General features: G+C 56.6%; 1 protein-coding gene across 2 annotated transcripts, besides 3 other annotated features; it reads right to left on the bottom strand.

Moving 5' to 3' along the window:
- BCAM (basal cell adhesion molecule (Lutheran blood group)) lies at positions 621-12,983 on the bottom strand. Of its 2 annotated transcripts, NM_005581.5 has the most exons (15): positions 12,836-12,939; positions 10,696-10,817; positions 9,651-9,879; positions 9,494-9,564; positions 8,696-8,792; positions 8,422-8,604; positions 7,754-7,890; positions 7,282-7,438; positions 3,405-3,520; positions 3,160-3,301; positions 2,850-2,986; positions 2,552-2,696; positions 2,316-2,460; positions 1,220-1,337; positions 621-1,126 (listed from the first exon to the last, which is right to left on the bottom strand). In NM_005581.5, exons 1-15 carry the CDS (start codon positions 12,915-12,917, stop codon positions 1,121-1,123), a joined length of 1,887 nt encoding a protein of 628 aa, NP_005572.2. In that variant the 5' UTR covers positions 12,918-12,939; the 3' UTR covers positions 621-1,120. The 2 variants fall into 2 exon arrangements, with proteins under 2 accessions (NP_005572.2, NP_001013275.1); NM_001013257.2 differs by having other exon boundaries at positions 1,220-2,460; positions 12,836-12,983.
- Positions 3,976-4,270: a silencer, noted in NCBI's record as "tiled region #5395; K562 Repressive DNase matched - State 10:DNaseD". NCBI's record gives its function as "represses a minimal TATA promoter and a strong SV40 promoter by Sharpr-MPRA in K562 cells {active_cell/tissue: K562}" and the evidence as "EXISTENCE:reporter gene assay evidence [ECO:0000049][PMID:27701403]".
- Positions 8,035-8,567: an enhancer, noted in NCBI's record as "H3K27ac-H3K4me1 hESC enhancer chr19:45316732-45317264 (GRCh37/hg19 assembly coordinates)". NCBI's record gives its function as "activates a minimal SCP1, AML or CMV promoter by ChIP-STARR-seq in primed H9 embryonic stem cells {active_cell/tissue: H9 hESC(primed)}" and the evidence as "EXISTENCE:reporter gene assay evidence [ECO:0000049][PMID:30033119]".
- Positions 9,219-9,765: an enhancer, noted in NCBI's record as "H3K27ac-H3K4me1 hESC enhancer chr19:45315534-45316080 (GRCh37/hg19 assembly coordinates)". NCBI's record gives its function as "activates a minimal SCP1, AML or CMV promoter by ChIP-STARR-seq in naive H9 embryonic stem cells {active_cell/tissue: H9 hESC(naive)}" and the evidence as "EXISTENCE:reporter gene assay evidence [ECO:0000049][PMID:30033119]".

Here is a 20,205-nt window from a genome sequence, read left to right as displayed (position 1 = left end):
GCCTGGCTAATTTTTTGTATTTTTAGTAGAGATGGGGTTTCACCATGTTGGCCAGGCTGGTCTCAAACTCCTGACCTAAAGTGATCCCCCTGCCTTGGTCTCCCAAAGTGCTGGGATTACAGGTTTGAGCCACTGAGCTTGGCCTCTTTTTGTTTTCTTCTTTTTTTTTAGAGATGAAGTCTCGCTTTGTCACCCAGGCTGGAGTGCAATGGCGTGATCATAGCTCACTGTAACCTCGTATTCCTGGGCTCAAGGAATCCTCCCACCTTAGCCTCCTGAATAGCTGGGACTATAGGCACACCTGGCTAATTTCTGTATTATTAGTATTATTATTTGTAGCGATGGGGTCTCCATATGTTGCCCAGGCTGGTCTTGAACTCCTGGCCTGAAGCCACCCTCCAGTGTCAGCCTCTTAAAGTGCTGGGATTACGGGCGTGAGCCACCACCACTGGGATTACAAGAATGAACCACGGCGCCCAGCCCTGTCTCATTTCTTTCTCCATGACATCAGGCGTCTTCTGAGGTCTTGCAAGGGGGCGGATGGGGGGGCAGCTGAGAGCAGGGAATCACCTGCATCGCCCTTCCCCTCCCTACTCCCAGAGGAAGCTCTGGCCACAGGATGGTGTTGATGTGACAAACAGCATTTATTCCAGACTCCAGTGTCCACAGATGATGGGGTGGGGCGGAGGTAGGGCGGGGGCAGGAGTGGGACCAGGGGCGGGGTGAGGGGGGGGAATCCAGTGTCAGACTCTGCAGCAAGACGTCAGGTGGGGGGACCAGCAGGGGAGGCGGGAGGTAAAAATAGCTCCGGCCAGCCGACCCTCGGAGCCTTGTCCCAGGCTGGGCCTTGGGCTTGGGTCCAGGAGCTATTCTGGGGCCTGGGAGAGTCACATTCCCTGGAGGAAGGCCCCCTCCCACCCACCCACCCTCCCTCTCCTTCCCTCCCGGAGGCAGGCAGCCACTGTGGGTCCCTGCCTTGCCGGCAGAGGAAGGAAGGGAGGGCTGGGCAGGGAGAGGGAAGAGGGAAGAGGGAAGGCGGGGGCGGGCATGGCGTGAGCAGGGCTGGTTCTCTGATGCCTGCAGCTCCAGGTCCAGGGACAGCCTCTAGGAGGTTCTTGGCTCAGCACTGGGGAGCGGATGGAGAGGTCAGCCTGTGCCCACGGGCGTGCTCCACTGCCCAGCAGGTCCCTCTCACCAGGGGGCCCAGGCCCTCACCCACCTCGTCTCCGAAGCCCCCGCTGCCACCCCTGGCTCCTCCGGAGGCACCTCCCATGAGAAGGCCGGTCTGCTCTGGTTGCTCCGACCCCGAGTGGCTCAGCCCTGGCTCCCCTGGCGGCCTGGGGGGAGGAGGCAGCGGGCGGAGGCGTCGTGTTGGAGGTGCACACGGCAGGGGGAGGAACTGAGGATGGGGGTGGGTGGGACTAGGATGCGGCTGGGGATGGAGGTGAGGATGGGGGTGTGCTGGGTGGGGATGGCATAGGGATGGGGTAGGGGCTGGTAATGGCACTGGGGTTAGGGTTGGGCATGGGGATGCAGATGCTATTGGGGTTGGAGGTGGGAATGTAGCTGGAGTTGGCTTTGGGATCGGTCTGGGATGGTTACGGATTGGAGGTGAGGACGGCCATGTGGTTGGGGCTGGAGACAAGGTTAGATGAGGAGGAGCTTGGGGAGGCTTAGGGGTTGGATTTGGAGTCAGGAATGGGGACAAGATTGGGGATGGGGACATGGGTGAAGTTGGCTTCGGGACGGTGGAGGACTAGGGTTGGGAAATGGCTAGGTGAGGGCTGGATGGTGAGAGATAGGCTTGGAGGATAAATTGGAGTTAAGGGTGAGCTCAGGGGGATGATGGGTGTTGGGGCTGGAGGTTGGGGGAGGATGGGGATGTGGCCAGGGCTGGAGAGGAGCTTAGTTGAGGATGGTTTGAAGGGGGTTATGGATTGGAGTTGAGGGGAGATTGGGGGCAGGGTTGGGATTGGAGACAGGCATGGAGTTGGGGATGAGGCTGAGCTAGGGGCAGGAGAGGTGATTAGGGAAGGGGATGGTGTTGAGTTTGGCTTGGGGATGGGTTTGGGGATGGCCCTGGGTTGGGTTTGGGGCTGCAGTTGGGGATGAGGATGAGTTGGGGATGGCTGTGGATTAGTCTGGGGCTGGGTTTGGGGCTGTAGTTGGGGATGAGGATGGGTTGGGGATGGAGGTGGATGTGGTGGGATGTGGGGTGGAGGATAAGATGTGGTTGAGGTTATGGGTTGAGCTTGGGGTTGAGGGTGGGGATGGGGTTAAGCTATGGTGGTCATTGCAGATAGCAGGCCACTCACGGAGCCCCCTTCTCCCGCCGCTGGCGGCAGCAGGGGCCCCCTTTGCGTCTCACGCAGTAGAAGACAGCAACGACGAGGAGCAGGAGGCCCACGCTGACGGCCACGGCCATGACGGCCACTCCAGCCTGGGAGGTCTGGGGGCTCACTGCAGGGACAGGATGGAGAGAGGCGTGGGTCAGGCAGTGGGCTCTGTCTGCCCCACACCCGGCTCCTCTGCCACCACCTCAGTCACTCACCGGTGCCGAAGTGGAAGACATGGCGCTTGTTCCCGTGGGGGTTGGAGGCTTCACAGGAGATGCCATCGCGGCTCAGGGCGCTGGTCACTTTCAGGGTCAGAGAGCTGCTCACCCAACCCTGCCGTCCGGGGATTGGCTCTGCGGGCTATGGAGGCTCCGATCAGGCCCCGGCTGGTGGGGTCAAGGGGTGGGGTCAAGGGCAGAGGTGAACGACGTCCAGTCTCCCAGGAAGTGGAAAGGAGGGTGTGATACTTGGATGAGTGAGAGGGGGCTCAGGGTGGAGAGGAAGGTCCCTTACGCTGCCCCCCAATTGGCTCCAGCTGAGTTTGGGGTCTGGATGGCCGCGGGCAGAGCAGATGAGTGTGACTTCGTCTCCTTCCCTCCAGCTGCCATCTGCCTTGGGCTCTATTTCCGCTGTCTTTAGCTCTGGCGAGCCTGTGGGTGGTGGGGATGGGAAGAAAGTGAAGGGAGAGGAGAGAGAGAGAGAAGAGAGGCATCGAGCAGAAGATGGAGTCCCCAGCCAGGGACTCAGGAACTCGTCCTGTTTGTCCAGGTCCCACACCCCACACTGTCCCCATCCAAGCCCACCCCCTCCCTGCCCCCTGAACCTTGGACCAGCAGCGTGAAGTTCTGGGTGCGGCTGAGGACCGGGACTGTGGGCAGGGAGGCCTCACATACGTAGGTGCCATTGGAATCGAAGGTGATAGAACTGAGCGACAGCATGGGGCCATCGCCCAGGGGAGTGGAGTCCTGGGAAGGGCAGAGGAGGAGGAGGACGCTGTGAGAGGGCGAGGAGTGAGGGGAGAGAGGAGGGTGCGAGTGCAGGGCCCGAGGGGGCTCCTCTCCCTCTCACCTTGGTCCAGCGTAGGGCAGGGGTGGGCAGGCCGTGCACGGAGCAGTTCACGACTGCACTGCTGTTTAGAGGTAAGGAAAGCACCTTCCCCTCGCTGAGCTCCAGGGGGTCCAGATCTGCAGTGGGGGACAGTCTGTCACTCGTCCCAGACCGCCACCCACTCAATTAGGGGCTCTCCAGGGGCGGTCGGGGGTGCAAACATGAATGGACAGTTGGAAGCAGAGAACAGCAAGTAATCCTCCTGGTTTACCCCATCTCCATGAAATCTCCATTCTCCCATCCAGGCTCTCCAACCAAAAATCTAGCAGTCTAACCCCAACATTGACATGCCCAAGTCAATTACTTTTCTTCAGAGCTGACATCTGAGCCCAAGGTTAATGAATAACCTTAGGTGTGGAAGGTGTCCCTTCTGTGACTTTAGCACACAAACCTTTTGCTCAAACCCCAACCTGTGGGGTAACCTCCCTGTTACCCCCAAACATCTTTTCTGCAAAGTTTTGTTTTTGAATAGAGACAAGGTGTTGCTATGTTGGCCAGGCTGGGTCTCAAACTCCTGGCCTCAAGTGATCCTCCTGTCTTGACCTCCCAAAAGTGCTAGGATCACAGGCGTGAGCCCCTGCTCCTGGCCTCAGCAAGTCTTTATCTGGTCTGCTCCCAGGACAAATCCTCTGGCTTCCTGCCACCTCTGGCCCCAGGTTTGACTGTCCCAACCACCTCTTCACTAGCCTGCTCCTCCCTCTTGTCCATCCTCCACTGAGCAGCTAGAGGGACCTCTTTAAAACATCCACTGGTCAGGCCGGGCACGGTGGCTCATGCCTATAACCCCAGCACTTTGGGAGGCCGAGGCGGGTGCATCACCTGATGTCAGGAGTTCGAGACCACCCTGGTCACATGGTGAAACCCCATCTCTACTAAAAATCCAAAAGCTAGCTGGGCATAGTGGTGCATGCCTATAGTCCCAGCTACTTGGGAGGCTGAGGCAGGAGAATCGCTTGAACCTGGGAGGTGGAGGTTGCAGTGAGCCGAGATTGTGCCACTGCGCTCCAGCCTGGGTGACAGAGTGAGACTCTGACTCAAAAAAAAAAAAACAAAAAAAACCAACCACCCACTGGTCATCCCTCCCCTCTGCATAAAACCCTGCAGTGGCTCCCCAGTACCCTTGGCATCGAGGCCAAACTTCTTGAGGGTGCCTAAAAGATGCTGCCTGGTCTGGCCCTCACCCACCTCTTGAACCATCTCCCACTCTTCCCCATTCCTCCTGTGCTCCCAGCTACCCCGTTCTCTTGCTGTTTTTCTTGAGTAGACCAAGTTGGGGCCTGCCTCAGGGCCTTTGCACTTGCTCACTCTACTTGCAGTGCTCTTTTTGTAGCTCTCTGCATTTCTTCTTCTTATTATTTTTTTTTGAGAGAGTTTGGCTCTGTCGCCCAGGCTAGAGTGCAGTGGCGGGATCTCAGCTCACTGCAAGCTCTGCCTCCTGGGTTCATGCCATTCTCCTGCCTCAGCCTCCCGAGTACCTGGGACTACAGGCACCTGCCACCACGCCCAGCTAATTTTTTGTATTTTTAGTAGAGACGGGATTTCACCGTGTTAGCCAGGATGGTCTCAAACTCCTGACCTCATGATCTGCCCGCCTCTGCCTCCCAAAAGTGCTGGGATTACAGGTGTGAGCCACCGTGCCCGGCCAATTTCTTTTTTCTTTGAGACAGACTCTTGCTCTGTCACCCAGGCTGGAGTTCAGTGGCACGATCTCAGCTCACTGCAACCTCCGCCTCCCAGGATCAAGCGATTCTCCTGCCTCAGTCTCCTGGGTAGCTGGGATTACAGGCACCAGCCATCATGCCTGGCTAATTTTTATATTTTTAGTAGAGATGGGGTTTCACCATGTTGGCCAGGCTGGTCTCGAACTCCTGACCTCAGGTGATCCACCTGCCTCGGCCTCCCAAAGTGCTGGGATTACAGGTGTGAGCCACTGTGCCTGGCTGCTGTCTGCTTTTCTGAGTCTCACTTAAATGTCTCTTCTCAGAGGCTTCCCTGACCTCCCCTATTGTGGACACCCAGATCTTTCCTACAGCACGGAAGGACTTATTCCACCAGCTGCTAAGAAGGATGACAGCTGTCAGCCTGCAGCTGTCACCCCTCTCTGGGAGCTGCCTCAGCTGCTGAGAGCCCCTTGCCTAAGGCCAGCACACCTCTGAGGACTGGTTGATGTAGAGGTTATTAAGGCCCAGCCCCCTCACCCCAACTGGGGACAACTGTGAAGGGCCATCCTGGATTCCAAGTACCCCGTGGGGCTGACTGAGGCCCTCTTTCTTTCTTTTATTTGTTTCTGAGATGGAGTCTCACTCTGTTGCCCAGGCTGGAGTGCAATGGCACGATCTCAGTTCACTGCAATCTCCGCTTCCTGGGTTCAAGCGATTCTCCTGCCTCAGGCTCCTGAGTGGCTGGGATTACAGGTGCATGCCACCACACCCGGCTAACTTTTAGTACAGAGGGGGTTTCACTATGTTGGCCAGGCTGGTCTCTAACTCCTGACCTCAGGTGATCCACCCACCTCGGCCTCCCAAAGTGTTGGGATTACAGGCATGAGCCACGGGGCCCGGCCTACTTTTTTATTTTTATTTTTCCTGAGACGGGGTCTTTCTCTGTCGCTCAGGCTGGAGTGCAGTGGCACAATCTTGGCTCACTGCAGTTTCAACCTTCCAGACTCAAGGGATCCTCCCACCTGGGCCTCCGAGTAGCTGGGACTACAGGTGTGTGCCACTATGCCTGGCTAATTTTTAATTTGTGTGTGTGTGTGTGCAAATGGGGTCTCCCTCTGTTGCCCAGGCTGGCCTCAAACTCCTAGGCTCATACAATCCTCCTGCCTCAGCCTCTCAAAGTGCTGGGATTATAGGCATGAACCACTGCACCCAGCCTGAGACCTTCCTTAGACTTCAGTCCAACTTCTCACCTTGCCAAATCTTGCTTCCTTTACCTCCCTAGACCCAAGAGGTGCGGAACCCAGGGTACTTCCCATAAACTTCTTGCCTGAAAACATCCAAGTCAGAATCTGCTTCTCAGGAAAGCAGACTGCAACACCTGCCACCTAAAATAATCCCCTCTCCTGCTCTCTCTCACTGGTGATATCACCTGTAGATACACTACTGTTACGAAAGGGCTTAGTTAGCATTTACCATCTGTCTCCCCTACTGAAATAACAGGGGTGGTCTGTCTTGTTCACAGATGTGTCCCCAGCATCTGGCGCAGGGTCTACCCCAGGAAGGGATATGTAAGAAGTGCCAAGGGAGAATACAGCCTTTCCCCAGGGCCTGGATGCGAATGAACTGAAAATCATTCTTAGAAGCCTGGGATTCAAGGGATTGGTGAGAAATAGACGGTAGGAAGGATGGGCAGTGAAGGTAGGAACCAGAGGAGCCTGGGGGGTGATGAGGAGATAGCCTTGACTGGGGAGAAGGATCAGCTAGCTAATGGTGGAACTGGCCAGGTGGACCTTGAAGGCCATGGTGAGACACCTGGGCTTCTCCCAAGGGTACTGGGGAGCCATGGCAGATTCTGAGCAGAGGAGGGTCAGGTCTGTGCTATGGAAAGAGCTCTCGACAAGATGCGGTGGCTCACTCCTGTAATCCCAGCACTTTGGGAGAGCAAGGCAGGAGGATCGCATGAGGAGTTCGAGACCAGCCTGGGCAACGTAGCCAGGTCCTGTCTCTGGGAAAAAAAAAAAAAAAAAAACAACCAAAAAAACCCCCAAGAAATGCAGAGAAAGGGTTGAAGGCAGAGTGTTTGGGATGACAGAGCAACTTCAGGGCTGTAGGGAGGAGGGCGCAGAGGCACTGATGCCAGGGCCCCTCCTGCCCGCCCGTTCACCCAGGGCTCTCACAGGCCACGCGCAGCTCCAGCGTCTTGGAGAGCTGCACGTCATCTGCCGCGTCGTAATCCTCCACTCTGCAGCCATAGGTCCCGCTCTGGCCCCGGGTCACTCCCTCCAGGGTCAAGTTCCCCTCGAGATTCACATTCAGCACTTCCTCCTGCTCATCCTGGGAGACGGGGGACGAGGAACCAGGCTCAGAAGCCACCCCGGTTCAGCGGGCTCATGCTAGGTCAGAAGCCACCAGGTTAGTGTCATGCTAAGCCAGAATCAGGGGTCAGGGGCCATCAAGTCAGGTGGCATGCTAAGTCCTGACTCTCTCAAATCAGGGGTCAGAGGTCCTTTTAGTTCGTGGGCCACCAGATCAGGTGGCTGCCTAAGCCATGGGGACTCCCAGGTCCCACATTAGAAGTTATGCAGGTTAGCAGGTCACAGAGGTCAGGGGCTGGGGGGTGGATCCCAGAGGGACCCTTGGGTGGGTCACCTGAAGGCGGAAAAGCGTATACTCCGGGCTGGGGCTGCCGTCCCCCCGGCAGAGCAGCTGGACAGTGTCACCCTCGCGTACCCAGCCTGCTGGGGTGGACGGGCTGCCCACCCAGAACTGCACGTGCTCCGTGGGATCTAAGGGAAGGGCAGGGAGATGGGAATTGTGATCAGGGGAAGGGTCAAGGCTAGAGGACAGGCGAGAGGTCAGCCCTGCATCCCAGGTGAGGGCTATGGCGGGTCAAAGGTTACGGGTCATAGGTTTCAAGCCTCAGGTTCACAATTATTCTGAGTGCCAGAGTTCAGAGGTTGAAATAAACTAAGAGTATAGGTCAAGAGTCAGAGGTCCGTATGGGCGATGGGTCAGTGTGAGACTTGGAGCCAGATGTCATGGGGGGACCCAATTCAGTGTGAGAAGGTGGAAAGCACCATTTAGTCATAAACTTCATGGGGTCCAGGGTGCTAAGTGGAGGTCGGAGGTCAGAGGTCAGGATGGGGCTTGTGCGACCAATTGAGGTCAGAGGTCAGTGGCCAGCACTAGCACATTTTTTTTTAGCATGAAGTAGGGAGGCAGAGGGTCAGAGGGGAGTGTGAAGCCCCCGGGTGGAGGGTCAGGCCTCATGAGGTGTGGAGCCTGAGGTCAGAGGTCAAAGGCCAGCACAGACTCACAGTGCAGGGTGAGGTGGAAGGTGGGGCTGTCCAGGCGGCCGTGGCGGCCCTCGGGCAGGCTGTAGTGGGCGGCGCAGTGGAAGCTGGCGTCTCGGTCATCCTTGCGGAGCCGCAGGTAGAGGGTGCTGGTGAGGGAGAGCAGGCCCGAGGCCTCCCGGACCGTGCGGCTGGTCATGTAGCCCTCTGGGAGAGATCGGGGGAGGTGGCAGTCAGCCAGGCCATAGCCCCGCCACCCACCCCAGCCCACGTCCCGCCGCGCTCCTGCGCTGCTCACCTGGGTTCATCTCTACGGGCACCTCCAGGCGCTGCCCGTTGCGATACCACGTGATCTTGGGGGCCGGGTTCCCGTTCCGGCTGTTGCAGGTGGCGATCTGAGGCAGACACGGGCATGGCCCTGGGCTTGGAGCTGGGACTCTGAAGTCGGGGCTCCTCTCTCAGGAGTTCTCCCCACTCAGACTCATGAGCCGGGCTCCTAACTCCCGACTCTCCCAGGACCCAGGAGTCCAAATTCCTAGTCCCCGACTCAGACTAAAGAGTCCAGGCCTCCAGCACCATCCTCCAGGGACCAAGGATTCTGGGTCCCCCAGCTCTCTCCTTCCTAGGACACAGGAGTCTTCCCCCTCTGCCCTTCCTTTCTTTTTTCTTTTCTTCTTCTTTTTTTTTTTTTTTTTGAGACGGAGTATTGCTCTGTGGCCCAGGCTGGAGTGCAGTGGTGTGATCTTAGCTCACTGTAGCCTCTGCCTTCTGGGTTCGAGTGATTCTCCTGTCTCAGCCTCCCGAGCAGCTGGGATTACAGTTGCACACCAACACACCCAGCTAATTTTTGTATCTTTAGTAGAGACGGGGTTTCATTATGTTGGCCAGGCTGGTCTGGAACTCCTGACCTCAGGTGATCCGCCTGCCTCTGCCTCCCAAAATGCTGGGATTACAGGCATGAGCCACCTCGCCTGGCCTTACCCCTCCTCCTTTATTACCCAGGGGTCCCCAGCCCCTCCTCCCTCAGACCCAGGAGTCCAGGGCCCTGTCCCCTCCTCCTCCAGGACCCTGGGGCCAAGGTCCACCCGAGAGGTACCTCCTGGGCAGAGTCCTCCATCACAGACAGTGTCCCTTTGTTGGGGGAGACCTCAGTGGCCTCTGGCTTTGCTGTGAAAAAGACGTTCACGTCAGGAGCCCCTGCCCTGCGCCCCTCCCTGCCTGCCTCCCTTCGGGGGATGCCCGAGGACACTTACCAAACACGTTGAGCCGCGCAGTGGCCTCAGCAGTGCCTGCCGCCCCTGCCCTCACCACGCACACGTAGTCTCGCTCGTCGCCCACCTGGGCCTCAGCCAGCACCAGGCGCCCCTGGGAGTCCAGCTGGTATGGGGGACTGCGGCCCCGGGTGTCGTGCATTGTGACCTGGAGCTCAGAGCCCTGCATCTCAGCCGAGGCTAGGCGGGGGCGAGCTCCCGAGCGGTCGGTCTGTGGGCGCGGGGCAGGCTCTCAGCTCCGGGTGTCCCAGCGCTCCTCAGTCTCTCTCTCTCTGGGTCCTTTCTCTCTGCAGCTCCTGGCTCTGCCTCTTTTCCTCTTGTTATGGGTCTCCCTGGTCCCTCTGTCCCTCCCCACCTTCTCCTGCCCCCATTCCCTATCAGTTCTTGATTTTTCCTGTCTCCTTTTCTCCATCTCATTCCGGTCCCATCCCTTCTCCTCTTGGTCTCTCCCTCTCCCGATTGTCTCTCATTTTCTTTCCTCTTTTTTTTTGAGATAGAGTCTTGCTCTGTCGCCTGGCTGGAGAGCATTGGCTCGATCTCGGCTCACTGCAACCTCTACCTCCCAGGTTCAAGCGATTCTCCTGCCTCAGCCTCCTGAGTAGCTGGGATTACAGGCACATGCCATCACGCCCAGCTAATTTTTGTATTTTTAGTAGAGACGGGGTTTCACCATGTTGGTCAGGACAGTCTTGATCTCTTGACCTCGTGATCCACCCGCCTCGGCCTCCCAAAGTGCTGGGATTACAGGCGTGAGCCACCGTGCCTGGCTTCTGCTTTCTTGATGTCTGTCTCTGTTCTCTCTCTCAAGAGCCCGCAGTCCAGAGCAGGTCAATGTCATTCTAGACTTGGCTGTGCCTAGACACGGGGCACCTTGCAGATCCCTTCCCCTCAGTGGGACTCAGTGACCCCATCTGTAACAAGGAGTGTGGCTTGGTGGATCTCTACAGGCCTTAGGCACTGATGAGAGAATGAACCTTTGCTGCCCTGCTGTGCCCTGACTCCAGGCCCCCCAGCCCCAAGCACTCACAAGGAACCATTCCAGCATATAATGGTCGTGGGTTCCCGTAGGGGTGCAGTCCAGAATGACAGACTTTCCTCGCATCACCTCCACCAGCGGGGGTACAGACAAGCGCACCTCCGCCTGGGCATCTGCAAGAGAGCAACTGAGCTATCATCCACCACACCAACAGGAAGAGCCCTCCAGACAGGGTCCCCTCTCCCCCAGGACACAAGCGTCCAGGTCCCAGCCCCTCCTCCCTCAGACCCAGGAGTCCAGGTGCCAGCCCCTCCTCCCTCAGACCCAGGAATCTGGGCCCCTGTCCCCTCCTCCCTCAGACTCAGGAGTCTAGGCCCCAGCCCCTCCTCCCTCAGACCCAGGAGTCTAGGCCCCAGCCCCTCCTCCCTCAGACCCAGGAGTCCAGGCCCCAGCCCCTCCTCCCTCAGACCCAGGAGTCTAGGCCCCAGCCCCTCCTCCCTGAGATCCTTTCGCCCTCCATCCCTTCTCCCTGCATCTCTGGGTCTCAAATCCATCTCTCCCTGCACTTGCAGAGCTCAGGGCTCCTCCTCTGGGCTGCACAGGGCCCTGTGGCCTCCGCTGAACACTCCTGGGGTAATACTGCACCAGCCTTTGCTTATCCCAACAGAGCACACGCCACCCCCCAGGGCAGGGCCAGGCCTGGCTCAGCCATTTGCCTCCAGCACCCTGGGCAGGGCCACCTCTGTGATGATGGATAAATGTTTCTCTCCATCCTGGTCTCCACCTTTGCGTGTGTCTCTCCTCTTGGGTCTCCATCTCTGTCCCTGTCTCTGCCTCTCTCTGCACCTGCACCACTCAGTCCCTGGGTCTCTTCCGCTCTCCCATGAGTGAGGGGCTGGGGTGTGGGCTGCGGCTGGGCCCGGAGCTTAGGCGGGATGGATGTGTGGGGGCGGTGAGGGGGGACAGGGCTGGGCAGGTTTCAGGAATGTGGGAGGGACAGGCTGGCTGAGACCTGCCCGGCCTGGAGCCAGAGCCCCCAGCCGCCTCTTGGCCCCCCTCAGTTTGATACAACAGCAAACGGGATAAGTCGAGTCATCTTGCAAAAGGATAAGGTTGAGGCCCAGGATCTTGGGAAGCTGGGCACCTGGACTCCTGGGATCAGAGGGAAGAGGAGGCTGGGGCCTGGTGGAGTAGTTATTGTAGAAAAACCACCACCCTCCCTCACCCTCTGGGCTGGCATCCTGGCATCAGCTCTCAGTGCTTCTTAGAAACTCCCTTCCCTTCTCTGCTCAATCTGGCCCAGCCCTACCCCTGGGGACCCACTGTTGACCATGAGTGTGCCAGGGGCCTGGATTCCCAAGCGCTCACCTCTGGCCCCAGCCTGTCCCCAGGGAGGGGTGACGGGGTCCAGGCTGGTGCCTAAGGCTGGGTCTGATCTGCAGACAAGTGGAGGCAGAGAGTTCCTCTCTCTTCCCCAATCTCTCTCATCTCTCTGTCCCTCTGTCCCCAGCACCCCCACCCCCACCCCCCAGCCCCCGGCCTCCTCTCCTTCTATCCTCATGCAGGTGTGTAAATGTAGCTGAGGCCCCAGGAAGGGGGCCTGTCACTTGGAAACACTTTGTTCCACTGTCACTGCCCGGGGCTGGTGCTCCAGCCCTTTCCTGAGGGAGGCGGGTTCTTTATACTGGACTCTGGAAACTCCTAAATACATGTGGATCGCTGGTGTGGGGACACATGGTCCTCGCTTCTCTAAGGGGTCCCTGGACCTCTCAAAACTTGAGGACCTTTGAGGGAGAGAGCCCTGGGGTTTTGATCCTCTGTGCCCTGGGGGAAGCTATTCTAGCCACTGGAGGCCTGGACTCCTGGGTCTGAGGAAAGAGGGGCTGGGGGCCCAGATTCCAGGGTCTGAGGGAGGAGGCAGGTGGGACCCAGATTCCAGGGTGCTGAGTGGGAAGGGGGCTGACTTCTCTGGTTGTCTCTGATCCACCGCCTGGGTATCCCCAGCTCTCCTGCCTGGCTGTCCCCAGATCTCTCTCACTGGAAGGCGTACCTTCCAACACTCCCATATCCCTCCTCCTTGGGGTCCCCACATTTTGCTTCCTGGGGTCAGGGTAAAGCCCTTTCTCCTCGCTTTCCCGGGGTCCCCAGGGGCCTCTCCCCAGTCCCACCTTGCCCTCAGCCCGAGCCATACCTGGGTGCGCCGCCAGCAGGACTGCGAGCAACAGCAGCCGCGGGGCCCCGCGCGCCTGGGCCGGTGCGTCCGGGGGCTCCATGTTCACGGCGGCGGCGGAGACTGAGCCCGGGCTGCAGCTCGGCCGCTGCGGGGCTGGGAGCCAGAGGCCCCGCCCCCGGCAGCCCCGCCCCGCCCCGCCCTCCAGGCCCCCCTCGTCCCCCGATGCCCGGGCGCGGGGCCAGGACCTCCCACTGCCCGGAGCGGACCTCCCAGTGCACGGGGCCAGGCTCGGGGCTCGTCCGCCCCCAAGCCTAGAGCTGTCCGGGCTTACTGACCAGCGCCTGCAGCGGGGGGCCTGATCGACCAGCGTAGCCAGTGACCCGAGCTGGGATCTCACCAGGCAATCGCGGACCTTCTCCTCGTTATTCTGACCAGGGGCCTTGGGGACTCGTCCCCACTGTGACCAGCAGCCTGGGCTGGCATCGTCGATTTTAACCAGAGGACCCCACTGCAACCTGTGGCCTGCGATGGCCTCTCCCAGTGTAACTAATGGCCCCAAGCGTGCCGTCCGAGTGGCCTGCACTGGCCTCTCCCAGTCCAACCAGTGACCCCCGCAGCCTGACCAGTGGCCCCCAGCAGCTGCTCCCAGTATGCCCGGAGATGTTTTCCCCTGTGGTCAGTGCTCTGGGCTGCTTTCCTCGTCTGACCAGTAGCCTGGAATCAACCGGTTTAATCTCTTATTTTCAATGGTCTTCAAATCCAGGTCCTCCTAGGCCGCTTCGATGATGGGGCTGGGGGTGGGGTACGGGGTGCCCTCTCTGCTTGCTCACCCATGGAAGGCCCTCCCACTCTTCCCCCTATCCAGGGAATCCCAGGAATGCCACCCTCCCTTCCTCCTTCCCGCTCTCTCCTTCATTCCCTCCCAACCTTGTGGGGAAGGGAGGAGTCAGACTGGCCAGAGCAGGTGAGGAGGGCAGGGGAAGAGGCCAGGGCACCTGCGGGAAGGGGGAGGAGTCCAGCCACTGCTAGGAAGCGTGGGTCACAGGTCCGACTGCCCAAGGCCCCTACAGGCCAGGTCAGACTGGGACAAAATCCCCCACTAGATGTCACTAGTTGCCCAGGACAGTGGTCAGAACGTGGGAGGGTGGGGGGTCGCTGGCCACACTGGGAGAGGTTACCCAAGCTTCTGATCAGCCTGGGGGTTGAGGTAGCCCTGGAGCTGGGCTTTGCCTGCTCAGACATACAGAGAAGGCTTGGATTACAGGTCAGCCTGGGAGTTATTAGACTGGTCAAGGTTACTTTATCCATTGGTCATACAGGAGACCAACGTTTTTTTTGTTTGTTTGTTTTGTTTTTGACAGGGTCTCGCTCTGTTGCCCAGCCGGGAATGCAGTGGGCGCAATCATAGCTCATTCAAACCTCAACCGCCTGGGCTCAAGCAATCCTTCCACTTCAGCCTCCCAAGTAGCTGGGACTATAGGCTTGTGTTACCATGTCCAGCTAATTTTTGTATTTTTTTGGTAATAGAAACAGGGTATTACTATGTTGCCCAGGCTGGTCTCCAACTCTTGGGCTCAAGTGATCCTCCTGCCTTCCAAAGTGCTGGGATTACAGGCATGAGCCACTGCATCCATCCTACAGAGCAACTGTTACATTGGGAAAGACCTTTTAGGATTAACTGTACCATCCCCTCCTCCAGGAAGTCCCCTCTGCCTTCCCTGGCTGGGTCAGGTTCCCCCTCTGGGCTCCCCCACCTGAGCCCGGCACACTCTGGGGGTCCCTGGCTGGGGATAGGTCTGTCTCCCTCAGTGGACTGTGAGCCTGTGAGGGCAGGGCCAGGGATGTCTTGATCACTGTGGTGAGCTAAGGGCTCCTCCCCTGGGCACCCCGCCCAGCACAAGACCAGACACAGTGCAGGTGCTCAGGGAAGGTTTGTTTGCAAGGCACACAAACTCACGTGCAGATTCCATCCAGACTGGAGCATCCCAGGATATACAATACAAACTCACTCATGGGGAATGCGGCGGCACTCCAAGACAGTCCCAGGTGCTGTCAAGCTCACACACTGTGAGCACCGACACCCATACCCTAGCTCTTCTGTCCCCAGCCTGTGCACCTTCTGTTTGGGCTGGACCCTGGTACATGCCCTCTCAGCAGCCATCGCCCACTTCCACCTCCCTCAAGAACCCAGCCAGCTGAGGCTGGGCGCTGTGGCTCATGCCTGTAATCCCAGCACTTTAGGAGGCCGAGGTGGGTGGATCACCTGAGGTCAGGAGTTCGAGACCAGCCTGACCAACATGGTGAAACCGCATCTCTACTAAAAATACAAAATTAGCTGGGCGTGGTGGCACATGCCTGTAATCTCAGCTACTCAGGAGGCTAAGGCAGGAGAATCGCTTGAATCTGGGAGGTGGAGGTTGCACTGAGCTGAGATCGTGCCACTGCACGATGTTGCCTGGGCAACAAGAGTGAAATTCTGTCTCAAAAAAAAAAAAAAAAAAAAGAAGAACCTAGCCATCTGAGGTTCTGGGTGAGGGAGGAGAACTCTATGGCATGTGTATGAAGGAGAAAAGTCAGAAACACCAAAACAGCAGCCGTGGACCCTTGCAGACTTGCAGAAACTAGTCTTGTAACATCATCTGCCTTTGTCCCCTGTAATTTATTCTCACAAAACAGCCTGAAGGATTCCTTTTACATGTGAATCAACTCATGTCACTCTTCTGCCCCAGGGTCCTCCCATGACTTCTGTCTCACTTAGGGTAAAAGCTGAGGTCCAGGTCAGCCGCAGGGACTCACGTCTGTAATCCCAGCAATTTAGGAGCCTGAGGCGGGAGGACTGCTTGAGCCCGGGAGTTTGAGACCAGCCTGGGCAACATAGCGAAACCCCGTCTCTACAAAAAAATATAAAAATGGCCAGTCATGGTGGCCCATGCCTGCAATCCCAGCACTTTGGGAGGCCGAGGTGGGTGGATCACCCGAGGTCAGGAGTTTGAGACCAGCCTGGCCAAAATGGTGAAACCCCCTCTCTACTTAAAATAAAAAAATTAGCCAGGGGTTGTGGCAGGTGCCTGTAATCCCAGCTACTCGGGAGGCTGAGGCAGGAGAATTGCTTGAACCTAGGAGGTGGAGGTTGCAGTGAGCTGAGATCATGCCATTGCACCCCAGCCTGGGTGACAGAGCGAGACTCAGTATCAAAAAAAAAAAAAAAAAAAAAAAAAGTTCTAATTCCATCCATGCGGCCGCAGGTGTATATCCTCACATATTTTAACTAACAAGGCTTATCTTTTCTGAAACTCTGGGCTCAAGCGATCCTCCTACCTCAGCCTCCCAAAGTGCTGGGATTATAGGTGTGGGCCACCACGGTTGGCCAGACTTACCTTTTCATTGTTTTTGAGACAGAGTTTCACTCTTGTTGCCCAGGCTGGAATGCAATGGCGTGATCTTGGCTCACTGCAACCTCCGCCTCCCAGGTTCAAGCAATTCTCCTGCCTCAGCCTCCCAAGTAGCTGGGATTACAGGCATGCGCCACCATGCCCGGCTAATTTTGTGTTTTTAGTAGAGACAGGGTTTCACCATGTTGGCCAGGCTGGTTTCGAACCCCTAACCTCAGGTGATCCACCAGCCTCAGCCTCCCAAAATGTTGGGATTACAGGCGGAAGCCACAGTGCCTGGCTGACTTATCTTTTCTTGACCTTTTTTCCCATTATTTTTCACACAGTGTGTGACGATTAACTTTACAACTAGCTCACAGCTTGTGGAATATGGGGAGAATGACATATTTGGAGGGGAATGGTTCTTCCCTGATTCCAGTCTCAGATCTGGAAAATGGAACTATTGAAATTTTTTGTATTGGGTGGCAGTGTGAATGCATTTTTTGATTGTACAATGAGAGACGGTTGTGCGGGGAAAGTTTCGATAAGAACTTCTGCAAAGGGCCTATTGATATTGAACATTCAAAGCCAGCTGTGGTGGCTCATACCTACAATCCCAGCACTTTGGGAGGCTGAGGCAGGTGGATCGCTTGAGCCCAGGAATTTGGGACCAGCCTGGGCAACATGGCAAAACCCTGTATCTACAAAAAATACATATTAACCGGGGGTGGTGGTGGTTTGTGCTCGTAGTCCCAGCTACTCAGGAGGCTGAGGTGGGAGGATCGCTTGAACTGGGGAGATCAAGGCTGCAATGAGCCAAGATCGTGCTACTACACTCCAGCCTGGGTGAAAGAGTGAGACCTTGTCTAAAAAACAAAACACAACAAAAAAAACCAAAGGAGCGGGCTATAGTACATATTTTGCGGGAAGGATTACCTAGCATCTGCAGCTCCTTCCCACATTTAAGGAAATTCCTACTGTCTGAAAGCCTCTGTTGCCCACTCTTGAAGCCAACAAGAATGGATGTTTGCTTTCCTGCATCTGTTGGAGCTAAGGTGACTTAAGCTTGGCAAATCCTTCCACACTTTTGAATATCAGGAATTGGCCACCTCTTCCAGCCATGCATGGCAGCTGGGACAGATTCTGTTTTCCAAAGACGGCTACAACAATCTCTTTCTTTTTTCTTTTTGAGACAGGGTCTTGCTCTGTCACCCAGGTTGGAGTGCAATGGCATGATCATGGCTCACTGCAGCCTCGTCCTCCAGGGCTCAAGTGATCCTCTCACCTCAGCCTCCTGGGTAGCTGTGAGTACAGGTGTGCACCACCACTCCTAGTTAATTTTTTTTTTTTTGTAGGAATGGGGTTTTGCCATGTTGTGACAGTGTCTTTCATCCCATGTGTGTTTCCACAATGAGAGCTTGATACTCTTTCCATCAAGAGCTGGGGTCTATGGCACCCTCCTCTCAAATCTGTGCAGTTTGGTGACTTGCATACAACCAACAGAATTCAGCTGAAGTGAAGTTGCGGAACTCCCAAAATGAGCTAGAAAAGGCCATGCAGCTTCTGCCTGGGTCTTCAGCGGCCATATAAAGTTTGACTACCTTGAGGCAGCCATGCTGTGGGGAAGCCCAAGCTGGCCAGTGCAGAGACTATATGGTGGGGGAGGCCCTGAGACCACAGAGAGATGCCCACTTGTCCAGCACCCCCAGCCGCCCTGTGGCAAGCATCACTGATTGCACTGTTTGTTTGCATCCTGAGCCAAAACAAACCAGCCACGCCTTTCTTCAAATCCCAGCCCACAGCAACCATGAGACTTAATGCAATGATTGCTGTCATTTGCGGCTAAGTTGTGAAGTGATTTATTACCAGCAACAGCTAATGAGAAGAGCAGCCATATCCTATTTCTGGGGCAGCAGAGGCAGCGAGACAACTACAGTGTCTAGTGGCCATCGCCAGCATGGCCTCATCAGACCGGTTCCGTGGTGTCACTGTGGCTGGGTTACCATTGCTGGCCAGTTGCCAGGATTCTTCCTGCTCACTTTCCAATCCTGATTCCCCAGTTCACTCCTGGGATTCTGTGAGTGACCCCAAATCCTCTCAATAAATTCCCTTTCTGCCCCTGAGGTAGCATCTGTTGCTTGGAACTAAATCTGTGAAAATTCTCTTTCTTTCTTTTCTTTCTTTCTTTCTTCCTTCCTTTCTTTTCTTTCTCTCCTTCCTTCCTTCCCTCCTTCCTTTTCCTCTCTCTCCCTCCCTTCCTTCCTTTTTTTTTTTTTTTTTTCAGAGTTTCGCTCTTGTTGCCCAGGCTGGAGTGCAATGGCACAATCTCGGCTCACTGCAACCTCCATCTCCTGGGTTGAAGTGATTCTCTTGCCTCAGTCTCCCGAGTAGCTGGGATTACAGGTGCCCGCCACCATGCCTGGCTAATTTTTGTATTTTTAGTACAGACGGGGTTTCACCATGTTGGGGTGAAAGTATAGACGGGGTTTCACTCCTGACCTCAGATGATCCACCTGCCTCGGCCTCCCAAAGTGCTGGGATTACAGCTGTGAGCCACTGCGCCCGGCCCTGATACATTCTTTCAAGCCTCCTGTCCATTGGAATACTTTTTCATCATTTAAAAAATTTTCTTTTCTTTTTTGAGACAGGGTCTTGCCATGTTGCCCAGGCTGGAGTGCAGTGGTGCAATCTCGGCTCACTGAAGCCTTGACCTCCCAGGCTCAAGCCATCCTCCCACCTCAGCCTCCTGAGTAGCTAGGACTTACAGGCATGTGCCACCATGCCTGGCTAATTTTTCCAAAATTTTTTGTGGAGATGGAGTTTCATCACGTTGCTCAGGCTGTTCTCAAACTTCTGAGCTCAAGCATCCCGCCTGCCTCAGTCTCCCAAAGTGCTGGGATTACAGGCATGAGCCACCACGTCTGGCCTCATCATCTTTTAAGTATCAGCTCAGACATCGCCTCCTCCTGGAAGCACTCCCTGACCTCCCAGGCTGAGTCAGGTGCCCACTCTGGGTTCCTGTAGCCCCCTGGGATTCCCTACCCCAGCCATGCCCACTCTGGGTCATCACTGTCTAGGGACAGGTCTCTTTCCTCTAGTGGAAGGTGAGCCCTAGTGGGGCAGTGATCACTGCTTCCTGGTCAGCATTGCTCAGCCCAGCGCTGGGCACAGGGCAAGGTCTCCGGGAATGGGGCAATTTAAACAAGGTGGAGGGAGGCTTGGGCCACTCCAAGATGAATCATGAGGTGGTATCTCTTCTTCCTCAGCAAGATTTAGACTGGAAGTTAGCAGTTACTCTGGGAGAAAGATGTCAGAGAGGAATGAAGGACAGAGAGAGGGATGAGCACAGACCGTGGCAAGGCAAGGTGGATAACCATCAGGGAAATGTGTGGTCCTTTTGACCAGGGACTTAACCTGGATATCTGGGTCTAGGTCCAGGGATTTTTTTTGCCATGATGAAGCAGGAGGGTTGGATGCCCGATTCTCAGAAAACTTGGGATTCTGGACTTCTAAATCCTGAGAGCAGGACTCCTGGGTATCACAGAGAAGGCTGGGGGCCCAGTTTCTTTTTTTTTTTTTTCTTTTTTTAAGACAGGATCTCGGTCTGTCACCCAGGCTGGATTGCTGTGGCACAATCACAGCTCCCTGCAACCTCAGCTTCCTAGGCTCAGTCTTTCCCACTTGGCCTCCCAAAGCCTTGGAATTACAAGCGTGCGCCACCGTGCCTGGCCCCAGATTCCATTTGAAGATCTGAGGGTGGAGGGGCTGGGGACCTGGACTCCTGGGTCTGAGGGAGGAGGGGCTGGGGCCTGGACTCCTGGGTCTGAGGGAGAAGGGGTTGGGGGTCTGGACTCCTGGGTCTGAGGGAGGAGGGGCTGGGGCCTGGACTCCTGGGTCTGAGGGAGAAGGGGTTGGGGGTCTGGACTCCTGGGTCTGAGGGAGGAGGGGCTGGGGCCTGGACTCCTAGGTCTGAGGGAGGAGGGGCTGGGGCCTGGACTCCTGGGTCTGAGGGAGGAG

Source organism: Homo sapiens, chromosome 19 (assembly GCF_000001405.40).
Source record: "Homo sapiens chromosome 19, GRCh38.p14 Primary Assembly".
In the NCBI taxonomy this organism is placed as follows: domain Eukaryota; kingdom Metazoa; phylum Chordata; class Mammalia; order Primates; family Hominidae; genus Homo; species Homo sapiens.
Note: the sequence above shows the minus strand (reverse complement) of the source record. Positions and strands in the feature narration are given on the sequence as shown.